General features: G+C 42.0%; 1 protein-coding gene across 5 annotated transcripts in view, besides 2 other annotated features; it reads right to left on the reverse strand.

Annotated features, from left to right (window-relative positions):
• The window catches only part of ADD2 (adducin 2), a 111417-nt gene that overhangs the window by 78907 nt on the left and 8231 nt on the right, over nt 1-24279 (reverse strand). The window lies entirely within an intron of this gene.
• Nucleotides 405-1146: an enhancer, noted in NCBI's record as "H3K4me1 hESC enhancer chr2:70963227-70963968 (GRCh37/hg19 assembly coordinates)". NCBI's record gives its function as "activates a minimal SCP1, AML or CMV promoter by ChIP-STARR-seq in primed H9 embryonic stem cells {active_cell/tissue: H9 hESC(primed)}" and the evidence as "EXISTENCE:reporter gene assay evidence [ECO:0000049][PMID:30033119]".
• Nucleotides 8939-9440: an enhancer, noted in NCBI's record as "H3K4me1 hESC enhancer chr2:70971761-70972262 (GRCh37/hg19 assembly coordinates)". NCBI's record gives its function as "activates a minimal SCP1, AML or CMV promoter by ChIP-STARR-seq in naive H9 embryonic stem cells {active_cell/tissue: H9 hESC(naive)}" and the evidence as "EXISTENCE:reporter gene assay evidence [ECO:0000049][PMID:30033119]".

Below are 24279 nucleotides of genomic sequence, written 5' to 3' on the forward strand. Positions count from 1 at the left end.
GTCTCTATCTCTATTCCCCCGCTTTTTTTTTTTTGCTTTTCTTTCTTTTGAGATGGAGTTTCACTCCGTCGCCCAGGCTGGAGTGCAGTGGCGTGATCTTGGCTCACTGCAACCTCCGCCTCCTGGGTTCAAACAATTCTGCCTTAGGTGCCCGCAGCCATGCCCGGCTTTTTTTTTTTTTTTTTTTTTTTTAGTAAAGATGGGGTTTCACCATGTTGGCCAGGCTGGTTTTGAACCCCTGACCTCAAATAATCTGCCTGCCTTGGCCTCCCAAAGTGCTGAGATTACAGGCATGAGCCGCCACACACAGCCCATGTTCCCCCACTTTCCATCGCAGAAGCCTGACCAGGCAGTCATGCCATTCCCCCATCAGGAGGGCACAACAGGGCAAGGGAAGAAGCCCTATACTCAAATCCAGAGTCTCTAACTGCCGGGGGTGGGGGGCAGAAAGGCTGAGAACAATCAGATAGAGGGTATGACCTGTCTCCCATCACATAAAGACTATGTCACAAAGGAGAACTGGACAGGTATGATGGCATAAAGGAGAGAGTCAAAGAGGTACTAGTTGGATTGGCACTGGATTAAGGGCTGAGCCAGCTAGGCAGAAGCCTGGAGTCCTAATCATCAAGTAGTGTTAAAATGTCATCAGCATAAAGGAGAAACACAGCACCGGTTAACTGGGATTTCTGGATATGACTTCTCACATGGTGACAACATTTAAACTGGTTCTGTTCCTATTGAGTAGACAGAAAACTTATGATAGCTCCTCACCTGTACTGACTTAGAATTTTTAAGTATTTTTGCAAAATGACCCTCCAGGTTTCATGGTATAAGCATGACAGTCCCCTGAAGTCTGCCACAACATTCAGTTGAAATTTCTAAACCAAGTAAGACATGACACAGGACACAGTGCTTTGTACTGAGATAAGTTATTTAGCTTACTACATAACTTCTAGAACTTTTCATATACTTTTCAAGAAGCTGCCTAGTTCAGAAGATCTTATTAATGGTTTCTGAAGAGAAATCTATTTTTCCTCACACTGTATTGGACATAATGAGAATCTATTTCTCCCCACTGTGTTGCTGTTTTTTTTTTTTTAAGTTGAATGAATGCTCGAATAATATGAGCTTGGAGGTAAGCAGAATCATTAGTCCAGGAGAGAAGGAGGGAGCATCTATTATAAAAAGGAAAAAACAAACAACCCCATCAAAAAGTGGGTGAAGGATATGAACAGACACTTCTCAAAAGAAGACATTTATGCAGCCAACAGACACATGAAAAAATGCTCATCATCAATGGCCATCAGAGAAATGCAAATCAAAACCACAATGAGATACCATCTCACACCAGTTAGAATGGCGATCATTAAAAAGTCAGGAAACAACAGGTGCTGGTGAGGATGTGGAGAAATAGGAACACTTTTACACTGTTGGTGGGACTGTAAACTAGTTCAACCATTGCGGAAGACAGTGTGGCGATTCCTCAAGGATCTAGAACTAGAAATACCATTTGACCCAGCCATCCCATTACTGGGTATATACCCAAAGGATTATAAATCATACTGCTATAAAGGCACATGCACAAGTATGTTTATTGTGGCACTATTCACAATAGCAAAGGCTTGGAACCAACCCAAATGTCCATCAATGATAGACTGGATTAAGAAAATGTGGCACATATACACAATGGAATACTATGCAGCCATAAAAAAGGATGAGTTCATATCCTTTGTAGGGACATGGATGAAGCTGGAAACCATCATTCTCAGCAGACTATCGCAAGGACAAAAAACCAAACACTGCATGTTCTCACTCATAGGTGGGAATTGAACAATGAGAACACTTGGACACAGGAAGGGGAACATCACACACCGGGGCCTGTCATGGGGTGGGGGGAGGGAGGAGGGATAGCATTAGGAGATATACCTAATGTAAATGACGAGTTAATGGGTGCAGCACACCAACATGGCGCATGTATACATATGTAACAAACCTGCACATTGTGCACATGTACCCTAGAACTTAAAGTATAATAAAAATAAATAAATTTAAAAAAGAGGCTTGATACTGTTTTGAAACATTCAATTCATCCAAGTCCCCCTGTTCTGATTCCATCTCCCAAAAAATTCTTCTGATTGTGATTCAGCTTCTCACATTCACATGAGGCCAAAGGAGCACAAGTCATGGGTAAAACACTACAGCCTGCCCCTGATCTTCACTACCACTCTTTAGAGTGGAAATTACTATCCCCCTTTTATAGAAAAGGAAACTGAGACCCAGTGAGTTTCAGCAACTTGCTCAGGAGCACACAGCCAATAAGTGGCAGAGCTGAACAATGGATCTGGGTTCATCTGATTTCAAAGCCCAGTACACCATGAGGCCTCGTGTTGTTTCTGCAGCTTGTTTAATTCTTAAAATAAATTAAACACTACTTGGGAGACATATCTATAAACAAAACAAAAATCCAATAAGGGAAGAACAGGATGTTCAAATGATTATAAATATCCTAAGAAATTCCAGTTCAGGATGCTGTCTGGCTAGTGATCCATGAGTCAACCTCACCTAACTTTTCACTAAAAACCAACGTCAATTCACACACAAAATTAGATCATAACACATAAGAACTTCAAAAATGAAGACTGACAATTAGCCTAGGGCCAGAATGATGAATGATCATTTACTCATCGAGATCTATGAGACTGAAAAGAGAAGCATGAAGAGGGATTCATATAGGCACTTGTCTTTGCTACTTGGAGGAGAGAAAGCTAATCAGCTGAAAGATAAAGCTTTATTCCACCCTCACTGCCTGCCTGCCTCCTAGCTCAGGGTCTGTACCCTCCAGAAAAGTGAGCAACCTTCCCACTGTGATATGGAAGCTACTCCTTGAGAGGCCACAGCCATTTCACACCTGTATTGCCTCATGCTTCATCTGTACCAGGACCGCAGTGCTGGTCATGCAACATGGCCAGGGACAGATGTGGATTCCAATGCTGTATTGCAGCCAGAGATTTGAAGACACACATAAAAAGTGCCTGTGACAGGATGGGTGTGGGAGTCAGACAAAATCCACCTCTAGGCTACTTGTAAAGAGATGTATCTATGATCAAGTCATAAAATATTACTTAAAATAATTAGCTGAGCCATAAGCAGAAGATTGAAACTGGACCCCTTCCTTACACCATATACAAAAATCAACTCAAGATGCATTAAAGACTTAAATGTAAAACCCAAAACTATTAAAAAACCCTCGAAGACAACCTAGGTAATACCATTCTGGACATAGGAATGGGCAAAGATTTCATGACAAAGATGCCAAGAGCAATTGCAACAAAAGCAAAAATTGACAAATGGGATCTAAGTAAACTTAAGAGCTTCTGCACAGCCAAAGAAACTATTAGGAGAGTAAACAGACAACCTACAGAATGGGCAGAAATATTTGCAAACAGTGTATCTGACAAAGGTGTAATATCCAGCATCTATAAGGAACTTAAACAAATTTACAGGAAAAAAACCCCATTAAAAGGTGGGCAAAGGACATGAAGACACTTTTAAAAAGACGACATACATGTGGCCAACAAGCATATGAAAAAAAGCTCAATATCACTGATAATTAGAGGGCTGCAAATCAAAACCACAATGAGATACCATCTCACACCAGGTCAGAATGGTTATTATTAAAAAGTCAAAAATTACAGATACTGGCAAGGTTGCAGAGAAAAGAAAACACTTATACAGTGTTGGTGGAAGTGTAAATTTGTCCAACCGTTGTGGAAAGCAGTGTGGTGATTCCTCAAAGAGCTAAAAGCAGAACTACCATTTGACCCAGCAATCTTATTACTGTTATGTACCCAAAGGAATATAAATCATTCTACCATGAAGACACATGCACACATATGTTCATTGCAGCACTTTTCACAATAGCAAAGACCTAAATGCCCATCAATGGCAGACTGGACAAAGAAAATGTGGCATATATACACCATGGAATACTATGTAGCCATGAAAAAGAATGAGATCACATCCTTCGCAGGCACATGGGTGAAGCTGGAGGCCATTATCCTTAGCAAACTAACACAGGAACAGAAAACCAAATACTGCATGTTCTCACTTATAAGTGGGAGCTACAGGATGAGAACACATGGACACAAAGAAAGGAACAGCAAACACTGGGGCCTACTTGAGGGTGGAGAGTGGGAGAAGGGAGAGATCAGAAAAAATAACTACTGCATACTAGGCCTAGTACCTGCATGGTGGAATAATCTGCACAATAAATCCCCGTGACACAAGTTTACCTACGTCACAAACCTGCACATGTACCCCTGAACCTAAAATAAAAGTTAAAAAACTAAAATAGATAATAAAATAATTAGATCAATAAATATGCACCAGGAAAAAATAAACAAACTATGGCTTATGATATTTATATCAGAGACAATAAAAGTTAAGGTTAAAAGCTCTAAGTGATTCAAAATATTTTTATATTTGAAAAAAGTAAACCCCATAATGAAAGTATCCTATTGAACAATTATGTACTAAATAACATAGCACTGGACTATATATGTAAAGCAAAAACTGTTGAGAATCAGTAAGAAAATAACAGGATCATAATAATAATGGATTACTTTAATATGCTTTTCAGTCCTTGACAAAGAGGCTTAAAAAAGAGGATAGGAGAATACAAGAAACCTGAATCGGTTGACTAATTAGACTTAAAGGTATCCCTCCTCACTATCCACAATCTCACAATACAAACAGAAACCTAATAGATTTGGGTGGCAAAAATTACATTATAGTAAGCAATTTCACTGCAAGCATGCAGAGCAGAGTAAAATGCTGGTTAAAAACAAAACACCTCAGCTAACAATTTCTTCATTCTAGGAGAAGCATCATTTATCCTCAGGGAGATGGCAGAGTTTTTGTTGTCTTGTTTTTTGTGGGGATTTTTTTGTTTGTTTGTTTGCTTTTTGTTGTTTTTGTGTGTGTGTCTAAGAAATTTTTTATTTTTATTTTTATTTATTTATTTTTTTGAGACAGGGTCTCACTCTGTTACCCAGGCTGGAGTACACTGGCACAATCACAGCTCACTGCAACCTCCGCCTCCCGGCTTCAAGTGATTCTCCCACCCCAACCTCCCGAGTAGCTGAGCGTACAGGCGTGTGCCACTATGCCTGGCTAATTTTTATATTTTTAGTAGAGACGGGGTTTCACCATGTTGGCCAGGCTGGTCTCAAACTCCTGGCCTCAAGTGATCCACCTGCCTTCGCCTCCCAGAGTGCTGGGATTATAGGCATGAGCCACCGTGCCCGGCCTTGGTCTAAGAAATTTTTTGATGGGTCCTTTAAAATGTGAAAAGTGAGTTCCTGCTCCTTTGTCAAATTTCACAAATCTTGATGTGGGAGAGGATGATTTAAAAAAAGAAATGATAAATTGCCCTGCAGAGAAAGTTACCAAATATCAGCAGTGGGAAAATAATGGGAGACGGAAAGAGAGTCAGGAGCATCAAGACAAGAACACGGCAAAGAACAGTAGCTTATAGAAAGAAACAGCCAGTGAGAAACTCCCTGTAACAGTGAATGATCAATAAATTTTGAGAATTACTGACATCTGACATTGAATTTAAAAGTTGTTTACAGCCTTACACTATAATTACCTTCTGATATGCCCAATCCTTTGATTAAGAGTCTGATGTGCAGAAGAGCTTCGTGTTAGTGGTGCTCTGGGAGAATAAAGGAGAAAGGACAGTGAGAGCAAATGTATTAACGAAGAGGGCAGCTCCTTTGGGAGGCAAGCTTTTAAGTGTGATGGATGCTATTGTTCACCAGTATATGTTTCCTCTCTACTTTGGCGTACAGGAGAAGATGACATTTCCCCACCACATTCCAGGTCAGCATTCCCATACGTATTTTTCTAGTCAATAAAATATGAACAAACGTTCTTCTGGGAAGAAGCATGTTAAAGCCTTCCTCCTGCTGCAGTCACCAGCAATTTCCAGATGATGACAACTCCATCAGCTAAATCTCTGAGTAAGGAAGACATGGGACAGGACCCACACACACACTGAAACTCAATGGACATGCAACAGGAGCAAGAGATAAATTTCTGTTGTGTTCAGCCACTGAAATCATATGGTGTCTTGGTACTGCAGTATAGGTTGGCCTGTTGTGATCAGCAGCCTCGGTCACAATACCAGCTCCTCCCCCACACATCCCACCCAGCTGTGGGCTCCCAGGCAAATCCATTAACCAATTTTGACATTTCTCTAATCAATAATAAAATGAAGATGTTGGACTGGATTTGAAGTTTTCAAACTGTGTTCCAAGAACCTGGAAGTTTCCAAGAGGTACATCAGGGATTCTACAAGCATTTGATCCAATCTGTTTTAACTATTTAAAAGGCCATTATATACTACACCTTTAATATTCCTAATTCAAATACATCTGAGACTACCAATACCTTGTGCTAATTCTTCTTTTCCTTGACGTCAGAATAAAGCTTCCCTGCCTATGCAGATTTAAGAACTACCCAAAACATGTTTTTGGTTAAGAAAGTGCTATTTCTGAGCTAGTTATTTTTTAGAGAGTAAAACCCATTTGTGTCTGCTCACATGAAAATGTATAATCAAGTACATTACCAGAGAAAATATTCACTGGGCCCAGTGACACACCAGAAACAGCTCAGCTACATCTGCTTGGAATCAGCTCTTGACAAGGCAGAACTAAGTTGTAGGTGTTCTTAGCTAACTTTTAATATTTATACATATTATTTATTTTAGATGAAGTGAAATCATTTCCCTTAAAAAAAGAAATGGACTGCTGGTTGAAGAACAGGAATTCTAAAAGAAAATATGACGATATCTGCAATCAAAGTGATGGAGCTCAAGGTGAAACATCAAGTCAGGCTCAACTGGTACCTATTGATTCTTCAACTCTTGTTGCCTATAGAACAACAGTGAATGAAATAAGAGGAATGCCGCAAAGAAAACAAAGTACTGTAGCCATTATCTGTCTTTGGGGCTGACCTTTTAGGGCAATACAATCCACTCAAGTCCTTGATGTGCTCTGTATGTATAAATCTGGCAAAAGAGTTCTATGTTCCCTGCCATAGAACACCATTTGAACAGCACCTAGGGAGCCTACAAATGAGGTCCCTGGCTATACTTACATACATCTTAATGTTATGTTTTTTTAAGTTATGTGATATTTAAGTTTGTCAATGTATGTTTAACTTTGCCCATGAGGGAAAAATATACACTCTCTTTGAAAATCTTATTAAATCCTATCCTATGGATCCTATGTTACAGATGTGTTAAGTGAGAATCTTGCTTCAAAAATATTAGTACTGCTGTTGCATAGCACAGTCCACTCAAGAATCCAAGACTGTATTTAATGAATTAGCTAAGGAGGTCAAAATTATCACAGCAAAGTCACATCTTATGATAGACTGGTCAGCGTCCATAGCCTGTCAGTACGGTCAATATTGGCTGGAGTCAAAATTATCATTGAACATCTCCTCAGTGGACATGAGGAATAGGGCATGGCTCTCCATGTATCACCCCACACAGTACTGTGCATGTGTAATTGGATAATACATACAGTAGCATATGACTCATAAAAGGACATGTGCAAAATATAATTTGGTTGTATTTTTACTCCACTTCTCTGAGAGCTGGATTACCATGAAAGAAATGTGAGCATAAGGCACCTCTGGTCGAAAGGAAAAGTTCAGCATTTCACAGAGGAAGAGGCAGCGTCTTATGGCTGTCTCCTCTCTCCAGGCTGCTTTGTATGTTACCACCAGTCAGGTAATTTATTAGGGACAATATCTGCTTCAAAACACTTAACAGTGGGAGAAGAAGAGAAGAAAATGCTCTTTCTTCTCAACAAGTGTGTAACATTTCAAAGAAGTTTGTAAAATTCTGAAATACTTGCCAGGTCTATTTAAAAATAAATCTGGTTTGAAAAACCTAGAGTAGAGGCTTCCTGGAAGCTGTGGCTATACTGTATTTAAAGTCATCAAGTCTTGTAAGGAAAAACAAGAGTCAACAATGAAATAGGAAGAAAAAAGTGTTCCAGGCCAGATTACTATAGCAGGTACAAAGGTCCTGTGGTAGATCAGAGCATACAGAGCATGAGGAATTAAAGGAAGGCCAGTGTGGCCAGAGCAGAGCTGAGAAGCCTAGAGGGGACAGCAGGGATGACACATGGCAGCCAAATCATGCTAGGTCATAGCCATCCAGTCAGCCATTTACTCATTTGTTCATCAATCAAATACTTATCTTCTATGTGTCAGACACTGTTCCTGGTGCCAGGGGAAATACAGGAGTAAACAGGCCAGGTAAGGAGCTTATTTTTAGTGTTTACATCCTAAATGGATAATACATCCTACACTCTTAAAACTCAGAGTAATAAGAACTATGACAAGAATTAAAATAGGGCAACATAGTCACCATTTGGTAACCACCATGGAAATAATTGGAATTGGCAAAATTTGAATAAACCCTATAGATTAGATAGTAGGATTGTACCAATGTTAATTGCCTGGTTTATGAAAGGTTTGTCGATGTTAATTGTCTAGTTTACAATTACCAAAAATTGTATTGGGCAATTATGTAACAGAATGTCTTTGTTTTCAGGAAACACACATTGAAGTATTTATTATAGCATGATATCTGCACTTCATTCAAACGGTTCTGAACTAAATTGTGTGTTATGTGTTTGTATAGCTGTATGTGTGGACAATACATACAGACATGCTGGGACAGGGAGAAAAAGGGAAAATGACCTCTGAAGAGGTGGAAGGCTGAGATATAAATGACATGAAAGGGCATTCCTAGTGCAGGGAACAGCTAATGTAAGGCTCGAAAGCTAGACAGCATTTGATGAGTTGAAGGAGCTGAAAGAAGTCCATTGTGGCTGAAGCTGAGTGGCAAAGGGTAAGGTCTATGAGATTCGAGCACAGAGGAATTCTGCCTTTTTTCTAAGAATAATGGGAAACATTAATGGGCTTTAAATGGAGGATAGCAAGGTCCCATTTTCATATTGAATGCTCACACTGAAAAATAGAATAGGGGATGGGTCACTAGTGGGCGTGTGGGGGTCAGTTAGAGGCAGCAGCAGATGTTCAGGTGGGGAAGACCGGGCTTGGAATCAGGGCCTGGGGGAGCTGGAGAACAGTGGATAGGCTTCGGATGTTTAGGAGACAAAAACAAACAAAACAAAACACAGGACTTGGTGGTGACTTGAATGTACCTCTAATTGTCTTCTTTCGAGCATTGGATCAGTTAATGGAACTGAACTTAAGATTTCAAGGTGAACGGCCGGGCACGGTGGCTCACGATTGTAATCCCAGCACTTTGGGAGGCCGAGGCGGGCGGATCTTGAGGTCAGGAGATCGAGACCATCCTGGCTAACATGGTGAAACCCCGTCTCTACTAAAAATACAAAAAATTAGCCGGGCGTGGTGGCGGGCGCCTGTAGTCCCAACTACTCGGGAAGCTGAGGCAGGAGAATGGTGTGAACCCGGAGGGCGGAGCTTGCAGTGGGCCGAGATCATGCCACTGCACTCCAGCCTGGGCGACAGAGCGATACTCCGTCTCAAAATAAAAAAAAAAGAAGATTTCAAGGTGAACTATTAAAGTACCCCAACCCCATTCTTGCTGTAGGGTTGTTGTTGTTGTTTTTGTTTCTTATTCCCACACTCCTTTCTGGACAGTACCACAAAGTACAGAATCAGAGGAGAGGGAACAAGTTAAGATGTGAGAGGAGGGCTTCAGAGTGTGAACATTGTACTTAGATGTGAAGGGGTTGGTCTCTTCCTGAGATGCAGGCCGCCTCTCTGAGGTTCACAGTGTTTCTAACATCCCCACACAAAACAGAAAAATGGCACGTGCTGGGAAAGCAGGAGGGGCAGGAGATCTCCATCCAAAGCCAGACTATAGCCTCACCAAAAACCCTCCCAGGAGAGCAGCTAGGAACAGTAGATTGCTTGCCCCTCTTTCCTGAGAAAGCACAGCAGATGCTTTTTATATAATGTCCAATTACTCCAAGGAATGTCACCATCTTTATGATTAATGAGTTTATATACTCAGGGACATATGTGAGGTGGTATCCAAGGACAACAAAAGACCCTGCAGAGAGGAGATAAATTGAGTCCAACCCCTGTAGCCAACAGTTAGAGAAACAGATTAATTGTATGTATTACATAAATATCACTCAATGTAAGTTATTGTCAAAATAAGGACTGTTTTTATCTAAATTCACTGTGAAACAAATCTATTTTGAAAACCTACAGGTTATGGAAATGACAGGGAAAAGTTGTAAATAATAGATATCCCTTTTTCAGAACTCAATAATGAGCTAGTGAGACTGTCGTTATGATAATGACTTGTAAAATAGCACCCAATAAATAAAATACCTTTTGTGATTAAAGGGATTCTTCCAAGAAGGAATCGAACCAAGCAAGAATATTCCAACTTGCTTTGTAAGGCCCAGCTCAAATGTCAACCCCTTTGTGAGATTTTCTCTGATCTCTGGAGCAGAATTAATAGGCCTCTTCTATGAGCTCTGAGGGCGCTCATCAGTGGGTGGTGGAATTATTTACCATGGTAAATCTCTCGAATAGTTCTCTTTGATTACAGTACCTAGCATACTACTCAGCTTCCTTTTCCTTTTGGAGCTTTAAAGAATATGCAAACATTAAAAGCATCAGCAGTAGTACAGCTTGCAGCTGCTAATACTTATGGAACATTCATGGGACCAGGCACTAACTCCAAGCATTAACCCTTTAGTCCCCACAATAACCTTACTGAAGTAGGTACCACCAAGATGAGGAAACAGTAGGAGAGGTGAGTAGACATGTGCAAGTTCCCATTGCTAGTACTTGGGGGCAATTAGGATTCTAACTCACGCAGTCTGACTCTACCACTTCCCCAATAGGGTAGGATGGGAAAACACTGGGCCGGGAGGGAAAACAATTGGAGTCAAGTTTGTATTTATTAGTTTGTCAGCTGTGTAGCCCTAGGATACTCACTGAGTCCACTGGCCTCTAGGATTTCTCTGCCTCCTCAGAATTCAGGTCTCATCCACACTCTGGCAAGATAGCAACAGCCCCCATGCCTGGCCTTCCCACCACTGACCCACAGCCTGGGCCTGCCAGGTTAGCATCTGAGCCAAATGTTTTTGGATAGATTTACTTAGGCATCATTGTTATCCAAATGTCTACTCTTCTCACAGTTTTTGAAAACTGGGCTAAGTGCTGAGAGACAGCAAAGATTTAGCAAATGGTCCCTGCACTCCAGGAGCTAACAGTCCAATATGGATTTTTTTTTTTTTTTTTTTTGAGACAGAGTCTCGCTCTGTCGCCCAGGCTGGAGTGCAGTGGAGCTGATCTTGGCTCACTGTAAGCTCCGCCTCCCAGGTTCACGCCATTCTCCTGCCTCAGCCTCCCGAGTAGCTGGGACTACAGGCACCCGCCACCACACCCAGCTAATTTTTTGTATTTTTAGTAGAGATGGGGTTTCACCGTGTTAGCCAGGATGGTCTCGATCTCCTGACCTCAAGATCCACCTGTCTCGGCCTCCCAAACTGCTGGGATTACAGGCGTGAGCCACCATGCCCAGCCTAAGAGTCCAATATGGATTTAAACAAGAAAGCTGAACCTCAAGATTACAATCCAGAGCTGTATGGTAAGTGCTCTCCCATCATGCCACATGCTCTCCCATCATGCCATGTGCTCTCCCATCATGCCATGTGCTCTCCCATCATGCCATGTGCTTTCCCATCATGCCATGTGCTTTTCCATCATGCGTGTGCTCTCCCATCATGCCACATGCTCTCGCATCATGCCATGTGTTCTCCCATCATGCCACAGGCTCTATCATGCCACATGCTCTCCCATCATGCTATATGCCTTCCTATCATGCTATGTGTTCACCCATTATGAGTCATGCTTTCCCATCATGCCACAGCATAGTCACTCAGGCAAGAGAAACCCATCCTGTCTTCTGCTACATTACCCTTTTCTTTATATCTTCTACACACATTTTGTGTTCAGCGACAGTATCTCTTTAGGGACTAGTGACTTGGGAGCCACTTATAATCTCAGATTGACCTTTCTGAAATATTACTCAGTGGAAATTTGAAAACAAATTGTTTCCTTTGCACTCAATGGGATTAAAATTTGAAATTCAATTGTTTTTTGTATAGTAGGTCAACAATCGAAATGGTACAAAGGCATTTGCTCTTTTCAGCTTCCACCTTTGGATATGAGGCTTTATGTGACCTGCACTTCCTTGAAAATTTATAATGGCATAAATTTTTAATGGTTTTTAAAAATCTTGACATATTATTGCTGATAGGAAAAACAAGTGTTTTTTTAATCTTTGCACCCAGAACCAAAAAAAGAGCTTGTGGTCACAGCAGGGCATGGAGATGGCACAACCTCCATATAGTTTTTCTCCTGGGACACCATGCCCTCACTTGTGAAGAAAATTTCTGTTCTTAAGTTTGAAGACATGATTGCCTTATCATGTGGGTCCTGCCCTCCTCCTCACTCCAAGTATTTAGAGGTAAAATTAGAAATGTCACATATTCAAACACTGATAAAAAAAAAAAAAAAGGAATCCTTTTTTGGAATCTATTCTGTGTCTCTGTGTAGCTATCATTGACATTATTATTCATCAAAGTAAGCTGAGTTATGCTGCAGTAACTAGACTCCTTCCCTCTGGTCTTGTGTGGCCTCTCTGACCACTTAAGGTAAAACAAGGAGAACTAAAAGACAAAGATCTTTATGGCTTCTCCTGCCACAATAGGCTCCTCATAGCAGGTCCATTTTATCCAGATCCAAAGCAGAGCACTTCCTACCTGGGAATGGAGACTTGCTCTTTGGCTCCCCTGGTGATTAGAACGTGTGACCACAGAAGTGATCACTGAAAACCCCTGCCACTGACAAGGTCCTCTGAGCCACTCTTTGAGAAAGTGAAAGCTTCTGTCTTTTCACCACTTAAAATGCTGGCCAGAAGAAAGCATTGCTTCTACAATGCATTTCAAGTATATTACTTTAAATGTGGCAGCTATATGTCCAAAGGATTTTGGAGGTTTGTAGAGAGGTAAGTCCCAAATGCCATTATTGCACATTAAAGAAAATGAAATTAGCTTAGGAGTGCAACACAGTTCAAGCCATTAAATAATTTTAAAGGCACTTAGTGCAGCATTGAGCTATATAAGTATGGGCACACTTAAACTGCTTGAGCTGTACTGAACTAACTCAGTACAGATCCTGTTTGGCAGGATCAAACTTGGAGGCTGTATTAGTCCGTTCTCATGTTGCTATGAAGGAATACCTGAGACTGGGTAATTTATAGAGATAAGAGGTTTAACTGACTCATAGTTTTGCATGGCTGGTGAGGCCTCAGGAAACTTACAATCATGGCAGAAGACACCTCTTCACAAGGCGGCAGGAGAAAGAATGAGAGCCAGCAGGGGAAATGCCAGATGCTTATAAAACCATTAGATCTCATGAGAACTCACTCACTATCAGGAGAACAGCATGGGGGAAACCACCTCCATGATTCAATTACCTCCCACAGGGTCCCTCCCATGACACACGGGGAATAGGGGATTATAATTCAAGATGAGATTTGGGTGGGGACACAAAGCCAAACCATATCAGAGGCTAATGCTAAAAACCTAGAATTGCATAGGAAGCACTCTCTTGTGAAGGACAGTTAGGACAAATGTTTAACAAGGGCAACTTCCTGGTCACTAATGCCAGGGGAAGTTATATGTGTGGCAGTCACTGCTAGCTAGGCAATATTCACCTCCCCTTCTTCCTCCCTATCAGGGAACAATATGGCCAGCTAAAAAAAAAACCGCATTTCCCAGCCTTCCCCAAAGCTAGAAGCAACCATTTGATACAGTCTTGGTCAATAACGTGTTAGCACAAATCTTCTGGGAATTTCTGAGAAAGTCTAATTTCCTGATGGAAATACTATCCTTTTCCCTCACCTCTTCCTCCTCCTTCTCCCTGTCTAGAAGGTAGTTAAAGGCTGGAAATGGAGTAGCTGCAAACTTTCAGGATAAAAAATACCACCTGCTAAGCATGGCAGAGCAGGCAGACAGGAGCCTGGCACATTGGTACCATAAGGAGTCGCTGCACCAGCCCCGGGTTGCCAACCTCTGGACTTTCTGGGGAATGGAAATAAGTCCCTATTTGGCTAAGCCACTACGGCTAGGTTTCTGCTTCATGCAGCTGGAGGCAATTCTTAACCAATATAGAGTGTCACACAGACAAAAGACTTTCCTGTCCAATCAGTTTGGGGATCAGTAGGGTATACACAGGTCCTTGTTACAGGACCTTTCTGAGCCTTTCATATCGTAGGTGCCTGATGATGCTCTTGAGAGGGGGGCAGAGTACAGTGTCTCCCAAATTCTATTGGCCATGGACACTTATTTCATGTTACATCTCTTGGGAATAATGTCCCACCAAATATACCTTAGGAAACAATGCTCCAAGTGTGCACGTGCTCATGCTCGCTCTTTCTTTTTCTTTCTCTCAACCAGGGAAACATCATGCCTTTCCAGGAGGTACAAACATAAATTCTTAGCAAATGTTGAAACATAAAAGTCTCTCAAAATTCATGTCCCCAAAGTGTCTCCCAACAATTCATATCCACCTGAAACCTGTGAATTTGTCCTTATTTAGAAACAGGATCTCTGCAGATGCAATCAAGTGAAGATGAAGTCATAGTGGATTAGGGTAGGTCCTAAATCCAATGGTCAGCATCCTTATAAGGAATGGGAAGATTTAGTCATCAAAGTCATAGAGAAGACACACACACACAGAGGAAAGACCATGTGATGACAGAGGTAGAGACTGGATTGATGTAGCTGCAAGCCAAGGAATGCCAAGAATTACTGCCACCCTCCAAAGGTAGGAAGAAACAGGGAAGGAGTACCCTAGAGCCTTCAGAGGGAGCACGGCCTTGTCAGCAGTTTGATTTCAGACCTCTAGCCTTCAGAATTGAGAGAGAATACATTTCAGTTATGTCAAGCCATCTCCATTTAAGGAGATCTCCATTTAAGCCATCTCCATGTAAAGGCAGCCCTGGGAAATTAATATACTCTGTAGCATTATAACCATGTCTAAATTACTATAATTTTTTCCTGTGTCCAGGAATGAGAATTAAGGGCCAACACTGAGACCTGGCCATGTAGAGAAACTGCCTCCCCACACCCTAGCTCCTCTACCATATTTTACATTCTTATAAAAAATTGATATGCTTCCTGTCACGTTTCCTTGAAATCAAATAGCATCTTGAAAACTCTGACTTTAAAAATGGGAGACGCTGACATTTGAATATAAATGCCCTAAAGAAAAACTTTTCAGGAGCCTTGAATTTGCCATTAATTAATCTGCCTCACCTTGGATCAGTGCCTTATCTTTTCTCAGCTTCATGTGTCTGATTTCTATAATGAAGAGGTTGGACTGGAAGATCTGTTTGATCCCTTCCACTTTGACACTCTGGAATTCCAGAGGGAATGTTTCAGTATATAACAGTTGACGCTTGTTACTCAGAAACCTAAAGATGGGCAGGGCTGGTTGGGATGAGGTCGGAGCAGCAGGCCCTTACTAATGCTTAGGGTACCTTGTTAGCTTTTCTGAGTCCACTTATATAGAAAAATCTTACTTCCTAGGATGTCTCTTTGAACTAAACTAGAAAAAGGAATACAGTGTTACGTTTGGTGTTATGTTTGCCTTAGCATATTAAAAGTCCTAAGAGAGAGATTCTTTTGGAGGGTTGTGATAGAAACTACTAGGACAAAAATGAATGTATCTCCCTTTCCCATTCTTAAAAGAAACTTACACTCCTAAAACTAGGTTAATTATTCACATTACAAAAGATGTCTTTACTTTATTAAAAAGCTTACTAAAGATTTCCTTTACAATAAACGGCATAAGAAAGTAGTTGCTTAACTGCTCTTCTCCAATCGAAACAACTCGATTCTTTTAGACTTTGGTCATATGAGCTTGTTTCCATCTACTTGACTATTTAGGTTGTTTTATCCAGAGCACCAATCATTTATCATCATACACTGTAACTGTGATAACCAGCACAGAGAACAATATTCTCAAAATCAATCAAGATAAAGGAAACTTAAGAAAAGGAACACATCTTGGAGCTTGAAGTCATTCTCTCAAGATATCTCCCCAGTTCCAGAAAATGCAAGGATATGATGGGAAATACAAGAGTCGCCGCTTTTCACAAGGGCACACAAGACACAATGTTTCAGCAAAGCACATCAAGACATTGTAATTATCAAACATAAACATTTTTAGTGCCTTAAATGCATATAGCCTTTGTCAAAAATGGTTTCAAGCCAAAGACACTACAAATTCTGTAACACACACGCGCTTTGGACATTTGCCAATGGACATTTGCAATGTCATTGGTGCCTAACAAGGACACAGAAACCCTAATTCTCTAAGCATATCAATGGCATTATTGAGTATTATATTCATAACAAGGGAGAAAAATAAACCAAGAGAATAAATTGGGTTTTTTTAGGTCATTAACTGCAGGTCTATGTAGGGTTACCTAGTTATAAGTTATAAAGTTTATTCATGTATTCCATCTGCAAATAATTATTTATTGCCTTTTATGTGTCCACTTTTCTTATCCAAGAAATGAGAATAATAATACCACCTACCTCACAGGGTTATTGTGATGATTAGACTTTAAATACTTATAAATATAAATATATGTCATTAACACAGCCTGACATGCAGGAAGTACTGAATAAATATCAGCTACTACTATTATAATGGAGCCAAGTAGAAAGATTTGGGATATGTTTTGGAGGACTGAGCCAGCAGAATTTGCTGATAGACTGGATGAAAAAGTGAAGGAAAGAGAAACCAAGGACAACTCCAAAATCTTTGGCTTGTGCAACTGGGATGATGACACAAGGAAAATGCAGAGAGAAATGGGTTTGAGTAAAGAAATCAAGAGCTCTAAGAGGGTCATTTAGGGTTGGTCTGAGACGCCTGTAAGACATGCATGTAGAAATGTCAGGGAAGCAGTTGGATATACAGGTTTTCAGCCTCACTACCCAAAGTAAGATCCGGAGACCAGCAACATCAGCATCGCTGGGAGCTTATTGGAAATGCAAACTCTCAGGCCCCACTCCAGACAAATGAGACTGGAATCTACATTTTAACAGGATCCCCAGGTGATCAGTGTGTACAGTAAAGTTCCAGAAGCAATGAAGTAGAGTTCTGGGGAGATAGGAACTTTGGATTCATCAGCACAAAAATGAAGTCTAAAGCCAAGGCCCAAAAGAGTTCACCAGAAAGAGTGTATAAGGAAGACAAAGTGGTGCAGGGCAAAGCTCTCTCACACTTAGAGGTCTGGTGGAGGAAAAGGAACTGCACAGAAGAAAAGGAGGAACAGCAAGTGAGGTAAGGGAAAACCAGAAAAGGGCAGTATTCCAGGCCAGATAATCCAAATGTTTCAAGAAGTGGTCAACAGTGTTGAGTGCTGCTGACAGGTCAAGTAAGATAAGAACAGAGAAGAGGCCATTAGATTTGGCAATATGGAGGTCATCTTCAATGATCTTGACAAGAATAGCCTCAGTGCCATAAAAGAGGACAAGTATAAACAGTGGGGAACAGGAAGAGATACAGAGCAAAGGCAACTCTTTCAAGGAGAACATAAAGGGAGAAATGGGAGGAGGGGGGAAGGAAGAAAGAGGTTGATGATGCAGAAAAGAGAAAAGCCAATTGCCATGGTGGTGTTTTTGAGATGGTGAGAGGGAAAAGGTCCCAGAGCCCAGAAGAAAAGATGGCCTCTGATAGAAGCAGGGGCCACTCAACCCAGAGCAGCATGTCAGGGATGTGTGTCAGGGGTTGGGGGGTGGGAAGACAGGAGAGCTCCGGGATCACTGTTTCTGTTTCTCAATGAAGCTGGAGGCACCCAGAAAGGTGGGTGGGGTGGAGAGGAAAGGAAATTTGGAGAAAAGAGGAGTGAATTCGTCATTCTGGAAAGTGATAAAGTAAATGCCTTAGAACTGCCAGGTAGCACAGGATGCTTTTTTGAGATTTTCAGCCATGCATCTGAAAAAGCCTACGCTCTCCCATAACATGCTTCATTCCTCCAAAATGTCCTCATGTTCTAATGCATAGAGGCATAAATCACAAGAAAGTGCATCTTCTCCATCAATTCTCATTATTCCTGTAAGCATTTTATTACATTAAAGGTCACCGTCAGCAGAACAAGGCTAGACAAGGGCGTCATCACAGAGCCACAGCAAGATGATGATACAAAAAGACAGAAGCCTTCTATCCCCTCCATGAGATTTATGGCTGAGGGGTGAGGCAGGAATTAATGACATGAAAACACAAGATGCCTCAAGGGAGGGAGTTCCTACAATTCACAAGAACTGCTAGGAGATCCCTCCTGAGACAAGTGCTTTGGTAAACAACACCAAGTACTGTTAATTGCCTTTAACTGAGTTTTGAACAAGCCCAAAGTCAATAATGCCTCCTTGGTTACCTTCCTTCCTGCTTGGAAACCAATCGAATTGAACAATCACATAATTCTTCGCAGCACTTCCAAATTCAGCTACATAAAGCCCACTTCTGTGATCCACAAACGAAGAAGCTAAAATGTGGCTCTCCCACAGGACACTATTGCCCCACAGCACTCTCTTCCACATCCCAGGTACTCAGGGCCTGGGTGCACATCTCCTCCAGCCCTATAGTCACCTCTATCTATTTCCACTCCTTCAAAACCCCATCACCTTGGAAGCACAGTCTTCCAACTTGACTTCCTGTCACTCCTCCTTGTTACTCTCCTCTACTGCCCAGCCACTCCTCTCATTCTCCGAGGACTCCAGCTCCTGGCTAACCATCTTCCCCTCCACCACTCTCCTTACTCATTCCTGCCGACGTTGACATCTACATGGTGATCCACCCGACACCCACCATCACATCTTCGTGGCCTCCAATGCCACTTATCTCTCCTTCCACCCCAGCCTCAGTCACCCTCTCCCGTGGTCATACCCTAGATCTTGCTGCTACCAAGATCACCACTTTCAATGTGTGGATGTCAACATCCTACTCTGACCATCCCCTTCCAGCCCAGCTCTGGCACCCCACCTCCTAGCAATTCTCCAACATCTCTGATACCTGCTAATCACCTTTTAATTATCTATCTCCAACTCTACTTTTCCCATCTCTTCTCATGTAGCTTAAATTATCCAACTGGATAACCATTCCCTTGCAAAACACCTCTAACTCCTCTGCCCTCTCACCCACCACTGTTTCTACCTCACAGAGTCCCACCCTTAGTTAAACCCTATGTGACCTTGCCCCTGCCTGCATCTGGGCCATTGACCCTTGCACAAAACTCTGTGGACTGGACTCACTTCAAATTACCCTCTACACCTTTCAGATGATTTCTTAACATTGCCAAGCAACCTGCCCTTCTCTCGAAGTACAGACTCTTCAACAGGATCATTTCCCACCTTCTCATCTCAAATCTCCCTGACTCCCTCTTCGCTCCACTCTCGGCCAATGATGTGGCCTCAAATAGCATAATGAAAATGCCTGCAATCAGCCAGCACTAGCTTATCCTCTGATCCGTCTCACGAACCCACCTGCAACAGCTCACTGCTGCCTCCCAAAAGAGCCTTCCCTGACCACTCTGGCTAAAGCAGCCTCCTCCCTCAGGTTAAAATGAGTTTATCTTCTGCATAATGGGTATCAATGCTTGAACCTGTTTGTTTTTATGCTTAGTGTCTGTCTCTCCTCACTAGAGTGTAAACTCTTGGCTCGTGGCATCCCCAGCACTGCACAGTAACCACACATAGAAGGTGTTCAGTAAACACTTGTTGACTGACTGATGAGCTGGGTTGAACGATACACTTACCTACCATTGTGACCAATTACTCATCATCTAGTACACCTCCAGCAAATGTAAATGCACATTTTCTTAAATATTTTTTATTTAGCCCTCCCTCCCTCTCCTCATAAAAATGAACAGTGGGGCTGCTATCCAGGTCAAATTTATCTATTTTAAAAAATGTTTACGGCCGGGCACGGTGGCTCACGCCTGTAATCCCAGCACTTTGGGAGGCCGAGGTGGGCAGATCATGAGGTCAGGAGTTCGAGACCAGCCTGGCCAACATGGTGAAACCCTGTCTCTACTAAAAATACAAAAATCAGCTAGGCATGGTGGCACATGCCTGTAACCCCAGGTACTTGGGAGGCTGAGGCAGGAGAATCGCTTGAACCCGGGAGGCAGAGGTTGCAGTGAGCCGAGATCACGCCATTGCACTCCAGCCTGGGCAACAAAAGTGAAACTTCATCTCAGCAAAAAAAAGAAAAAAAAAAAAAAAAGAGAAAGAAAGAAAAATAAAAGAGGCTGAACACAAGCACAAATTGCAGGTCTCTATACAGAGCAGCAGATCCTGCCTACCCCCTTTCCTCCCCCAACATACAGCGGTCCCCAGTCAGGCACTCAGTTGAGTTAACTCTTTATCTCAAAATAGCATGCAGACACAGTTCTTTTTGGATTTATTAGCTTCAATCACTAGATGGGTGTTCTTAGAGAAACTGCACACACTGCAGGAGAGAACTAGAGCCCTACTATGGTGGTGTTGGTGCCCGCAGATTAAAGCCTATCTCTGTGGGTCACTTACGGAGCCCCAGATAACAATTCATGTGAATTTCACCCTGGATTGAGACATTGGAGTCCTAAGAAAGATGAAATCCTAGCATGCTACTTATTGTGCAGTAAGCAATATCAACTCAGTCAGATACTGAACACTGTTAGGAGTTTTCATTTGTTTTAATTACCTTATAGACAAATCATAGAAACCAACGATGGCTAGGAAATAGAGTATTTTATCAACTTTGATAGTACAAAAGTAAATGTACAGCTAGAGAAGGAGGGAGCAGGCAAGGAGACGTGGTGGTAATAGCCTTATCTATGGCATAGAGTCAGGTGACACGATCAACAGTGGATGGAATGGGAAATCTGGTTGTAGTGAATCTATTGTCTGGAGTTGTGGGGATGGCCAGAAGAGAGGTGAAGAGATGGAGTTGTAGTGCAAGTAAGCTTCAACCTTGAGGGTTTTTTGTTTGTTTTTCCTTTTGAAACAGAGTTTAGCTCTTGTTGCCCAGGCTGGAGTGCAATGGTGTGATCTCGGCTCACTGCAAACTCTGCCTCCCAGGTTCACGCGATTCTCCTGCCTCAGCCTCCCAAGCAGCTGGGATTACAGGCATGCCCCACCACACCTGGCTAATTTTGTACTTTCAGTAGAGACAGGGTTTCACCAAGTTGGTCAGGCTGATCTTGAACTCCTGACCTCAAGTGATCCATCTGCCTCGGCCTCCCAAAGTGCTGGGATTACAGGGATAAGCCACCGTGCCCGGCTGGTTCAACCTTAATTTTTATGGCAGAAAGTCACTAGACAATGATCACAGTTGATACATTCAGAAACAGCAGTACATGCATATTATTTTGGGATACAGAGGTATCTACAGCAGAACAAAAAAACACAGCTAAAATTGGTTTGCCTGTGGATAAGGGATTTGTGGGGGGGGGGGATTTGTACAGGGATTGTTGCCTTTTATTAGAAGCCCTTCAGTCCTATTTGATTCATTAAGTATGAACAAGTGTTGCCTTAAAAACTAAAAGTTTGGGGACAGGAGACGAATAAAGAAAAATAATGATATATTTTATGAAATAAGAGAGAGGAAGTCTCACACACAGTATGGTGGGAATGAGTGTGGAATGGTTAAGCTGGATACTGCATAACTATGGTAACAGACGTAGCTAATTTAAGACACAAATGAGGGTGTTGGAAAGATTTAAGAGAAATATGGTGTTAAGAGGGAAGGAGAATAAATTCTAAAAAAAGGGATGCTGAGATAATCAGTATGGATGCTCTGCCATCTGACATGAGGAAAGCAGGAAAGAATCAAACCCGCCCTCACTTTTCCTGTCCTGTCTTTTCACGGTAGATTTTTGAAAGTAAACCCCTAGATATTCTTATGGAGACTCCATGCCGAGTAAAGAAAGCAAACATGATAAAATTCATACTCAATAAAATAACACAAGCAGAAAATCACATCCATTGTTAAATGAAATTGTTTCATAAAGCCTCCATGCATTTCAAAGTTTAATAACTTCATTTGTTCTTTGAGAAAAACAATTTAAAAATAACATTCAAATGCCCTTGTATTGATTTTCCCTTCAATAAAATGATTCACAATCAAGCACAAACATTTAACGACCCTTTCAAAATTCCACAGAAAATTACCGAAGGAACGTAAAAATAGGAACAAATCTCCATCACTTCTGGTTACCAGGGAGGCTGCCATTCACGCGGCAGGAACTGTGAGGGATCGACATCTTTATAACATCGGTTCTTCCCATCTGGGAACATGACATTCTGTTTCTTGAGTAAATATTGGTAATGCATATTTTCAGTGGAAATAGTCCATTTCATCAAGATTTTCACAGATGATGGGATACAATAATGCACAATGTTCTTGAGATTTTACATCTTTTCTCCATGCTGCTCCATATGTCATTTCTAGCTTTGTGAATTTTTTTGCCTTTGTATCTTAATTAGGCTTTCTGGAAGTTTGCCTATTTTATTGGCTTTCTAAAAGAACTAACTGGCTGGATAAAAGGTGGGGAGAGGGCATATAAGGAGGTGGAAAGAGTTGTTTTGGAAGGGTTGGGAGGGTGGGAAAGCATGTTCAGAAAAATGGAGTAGTTCAGCCTACCTAGAGGGTAGAGCGTAAAGGAAAAAGAGGAAAAGCAGTTGAGGCAGGTAAGGAGCTTGGGCTTTATCCGGAGGGTAGAGAAATGATGAGATTAGATTTTTGTTTTAAAAAGATCAACTATGCAACATAGTGAGACCTCGTCTCTACCAGAATTTTAAAAAAAATAAGCCAGGCATGTTGGCATACACTGTACTCCCAGCTACTTGGGAGGTTGAGATGGGAGGATTGCTTGAGCCCAGGAGGTTAAGGCTGCAGTGAGCCATGATTGCACTGCTGCACTCCAGCCTGGGCAACAGAGCGAGACCTTGTCTCAGAAAAACAATAATAATAAACTATGGATGGAGGAAGACTGGGCTGGAAGCAGGGAAGAAGGTGGGGGGACTCTAAAGTAATCCAGAGTTTCAGCCAGGGGCAGTGTGGCCATATGAAACAGGAACCCAAGCAAAGTAGCCCAGGCAGAATGGAAGGCAACATCGACATGGAAACCAAAGTCTAGCCTGGACTCATGGAAACTACTAGAATTGTCATCAATTCAGGGAGCCATGGGGATGGGGTGAAGGATGTCAAATGGTCCTTAGAGCTGCTACTGATAGAAGCCACAGGGATTTACTACTTGGCTTAGAAAGTTTTTTTCAGCCACTTCACAGCTGGAAAAAAGGCACAGAGAAAACCATTCCAGGCATTAAATGGAGCACTGAAATTTGTATTCAGGTACCTAGATCCTAAGCTCCCTGGCCTCCAGATCCTGCCCTGGAAGCTTGCAGGATGAGGCCCTATGTTAGATCAAATACATTACAGGTATTTACTGCTGGGTGGAATAGCGTTTATTTACATACTTTTGTATCTTTATTTTTAGCTGCATCTGGTGAAGTGATCAGAATCAACCTTGTTTGAAGCTGGATATATTAAATCCCCACTTTACTGGGAGCTCCCTCAGCACATGTCTGAGGAACTGAGGGTGCTGTGGTTTGGATATTTGATCCCTCCAAAGCCCATGTTGAAGGAGGGGGTACCTGGTGGGAGGTGTTTGGGTCATGGTGGTGGATCCCTCATGAATGGCTTGGAGCCATTCTTGCAGTAGTGAGTGAGTTCTCACTCTTTTCATTCCCATGACAGCTGGTTGTTAAGAAGAGCCTGGCATCTCCTCCCCTCTCTCTTGCTTCCTCTCTTGCCATGTGATCTCTGCACACGCCAGCTCCCCTTTGCTTTCTGTCAGGAGTGGAAGTGGCCTGAGGCTTCCACAAGCTGCCCAGTCTTCCAGCCAGTAGAATCATGAGAAAAGTAAACCTTTTCTCTATAAATTACCCAGCCTTGGATATTCCTTCATAGCAACACAGGCAGACTAAGATGGGGATCTGCCACTCAAGGTGGCAGTGCTGATAGATTTCCCACGGCCCTTAGATTTATATCCCTCATCCCCACCCCACTGACCATACCACAGCCCATCTAGCCCTGTTTCATTGAGCCTGGGGATACTAGCAC

Source organism: Homo sapiens, chromosome 2, assembly GCF_000001405.40.
Source record: "Homo sapiens chromosome 2, GRCh38.p14 Primary Assembly".
Taxonomy (NCBI): Eukaryota; Metazoa; Chordata; class Mammalia; order Primates; family Hominidae; genus Homo; species Homo sapiens.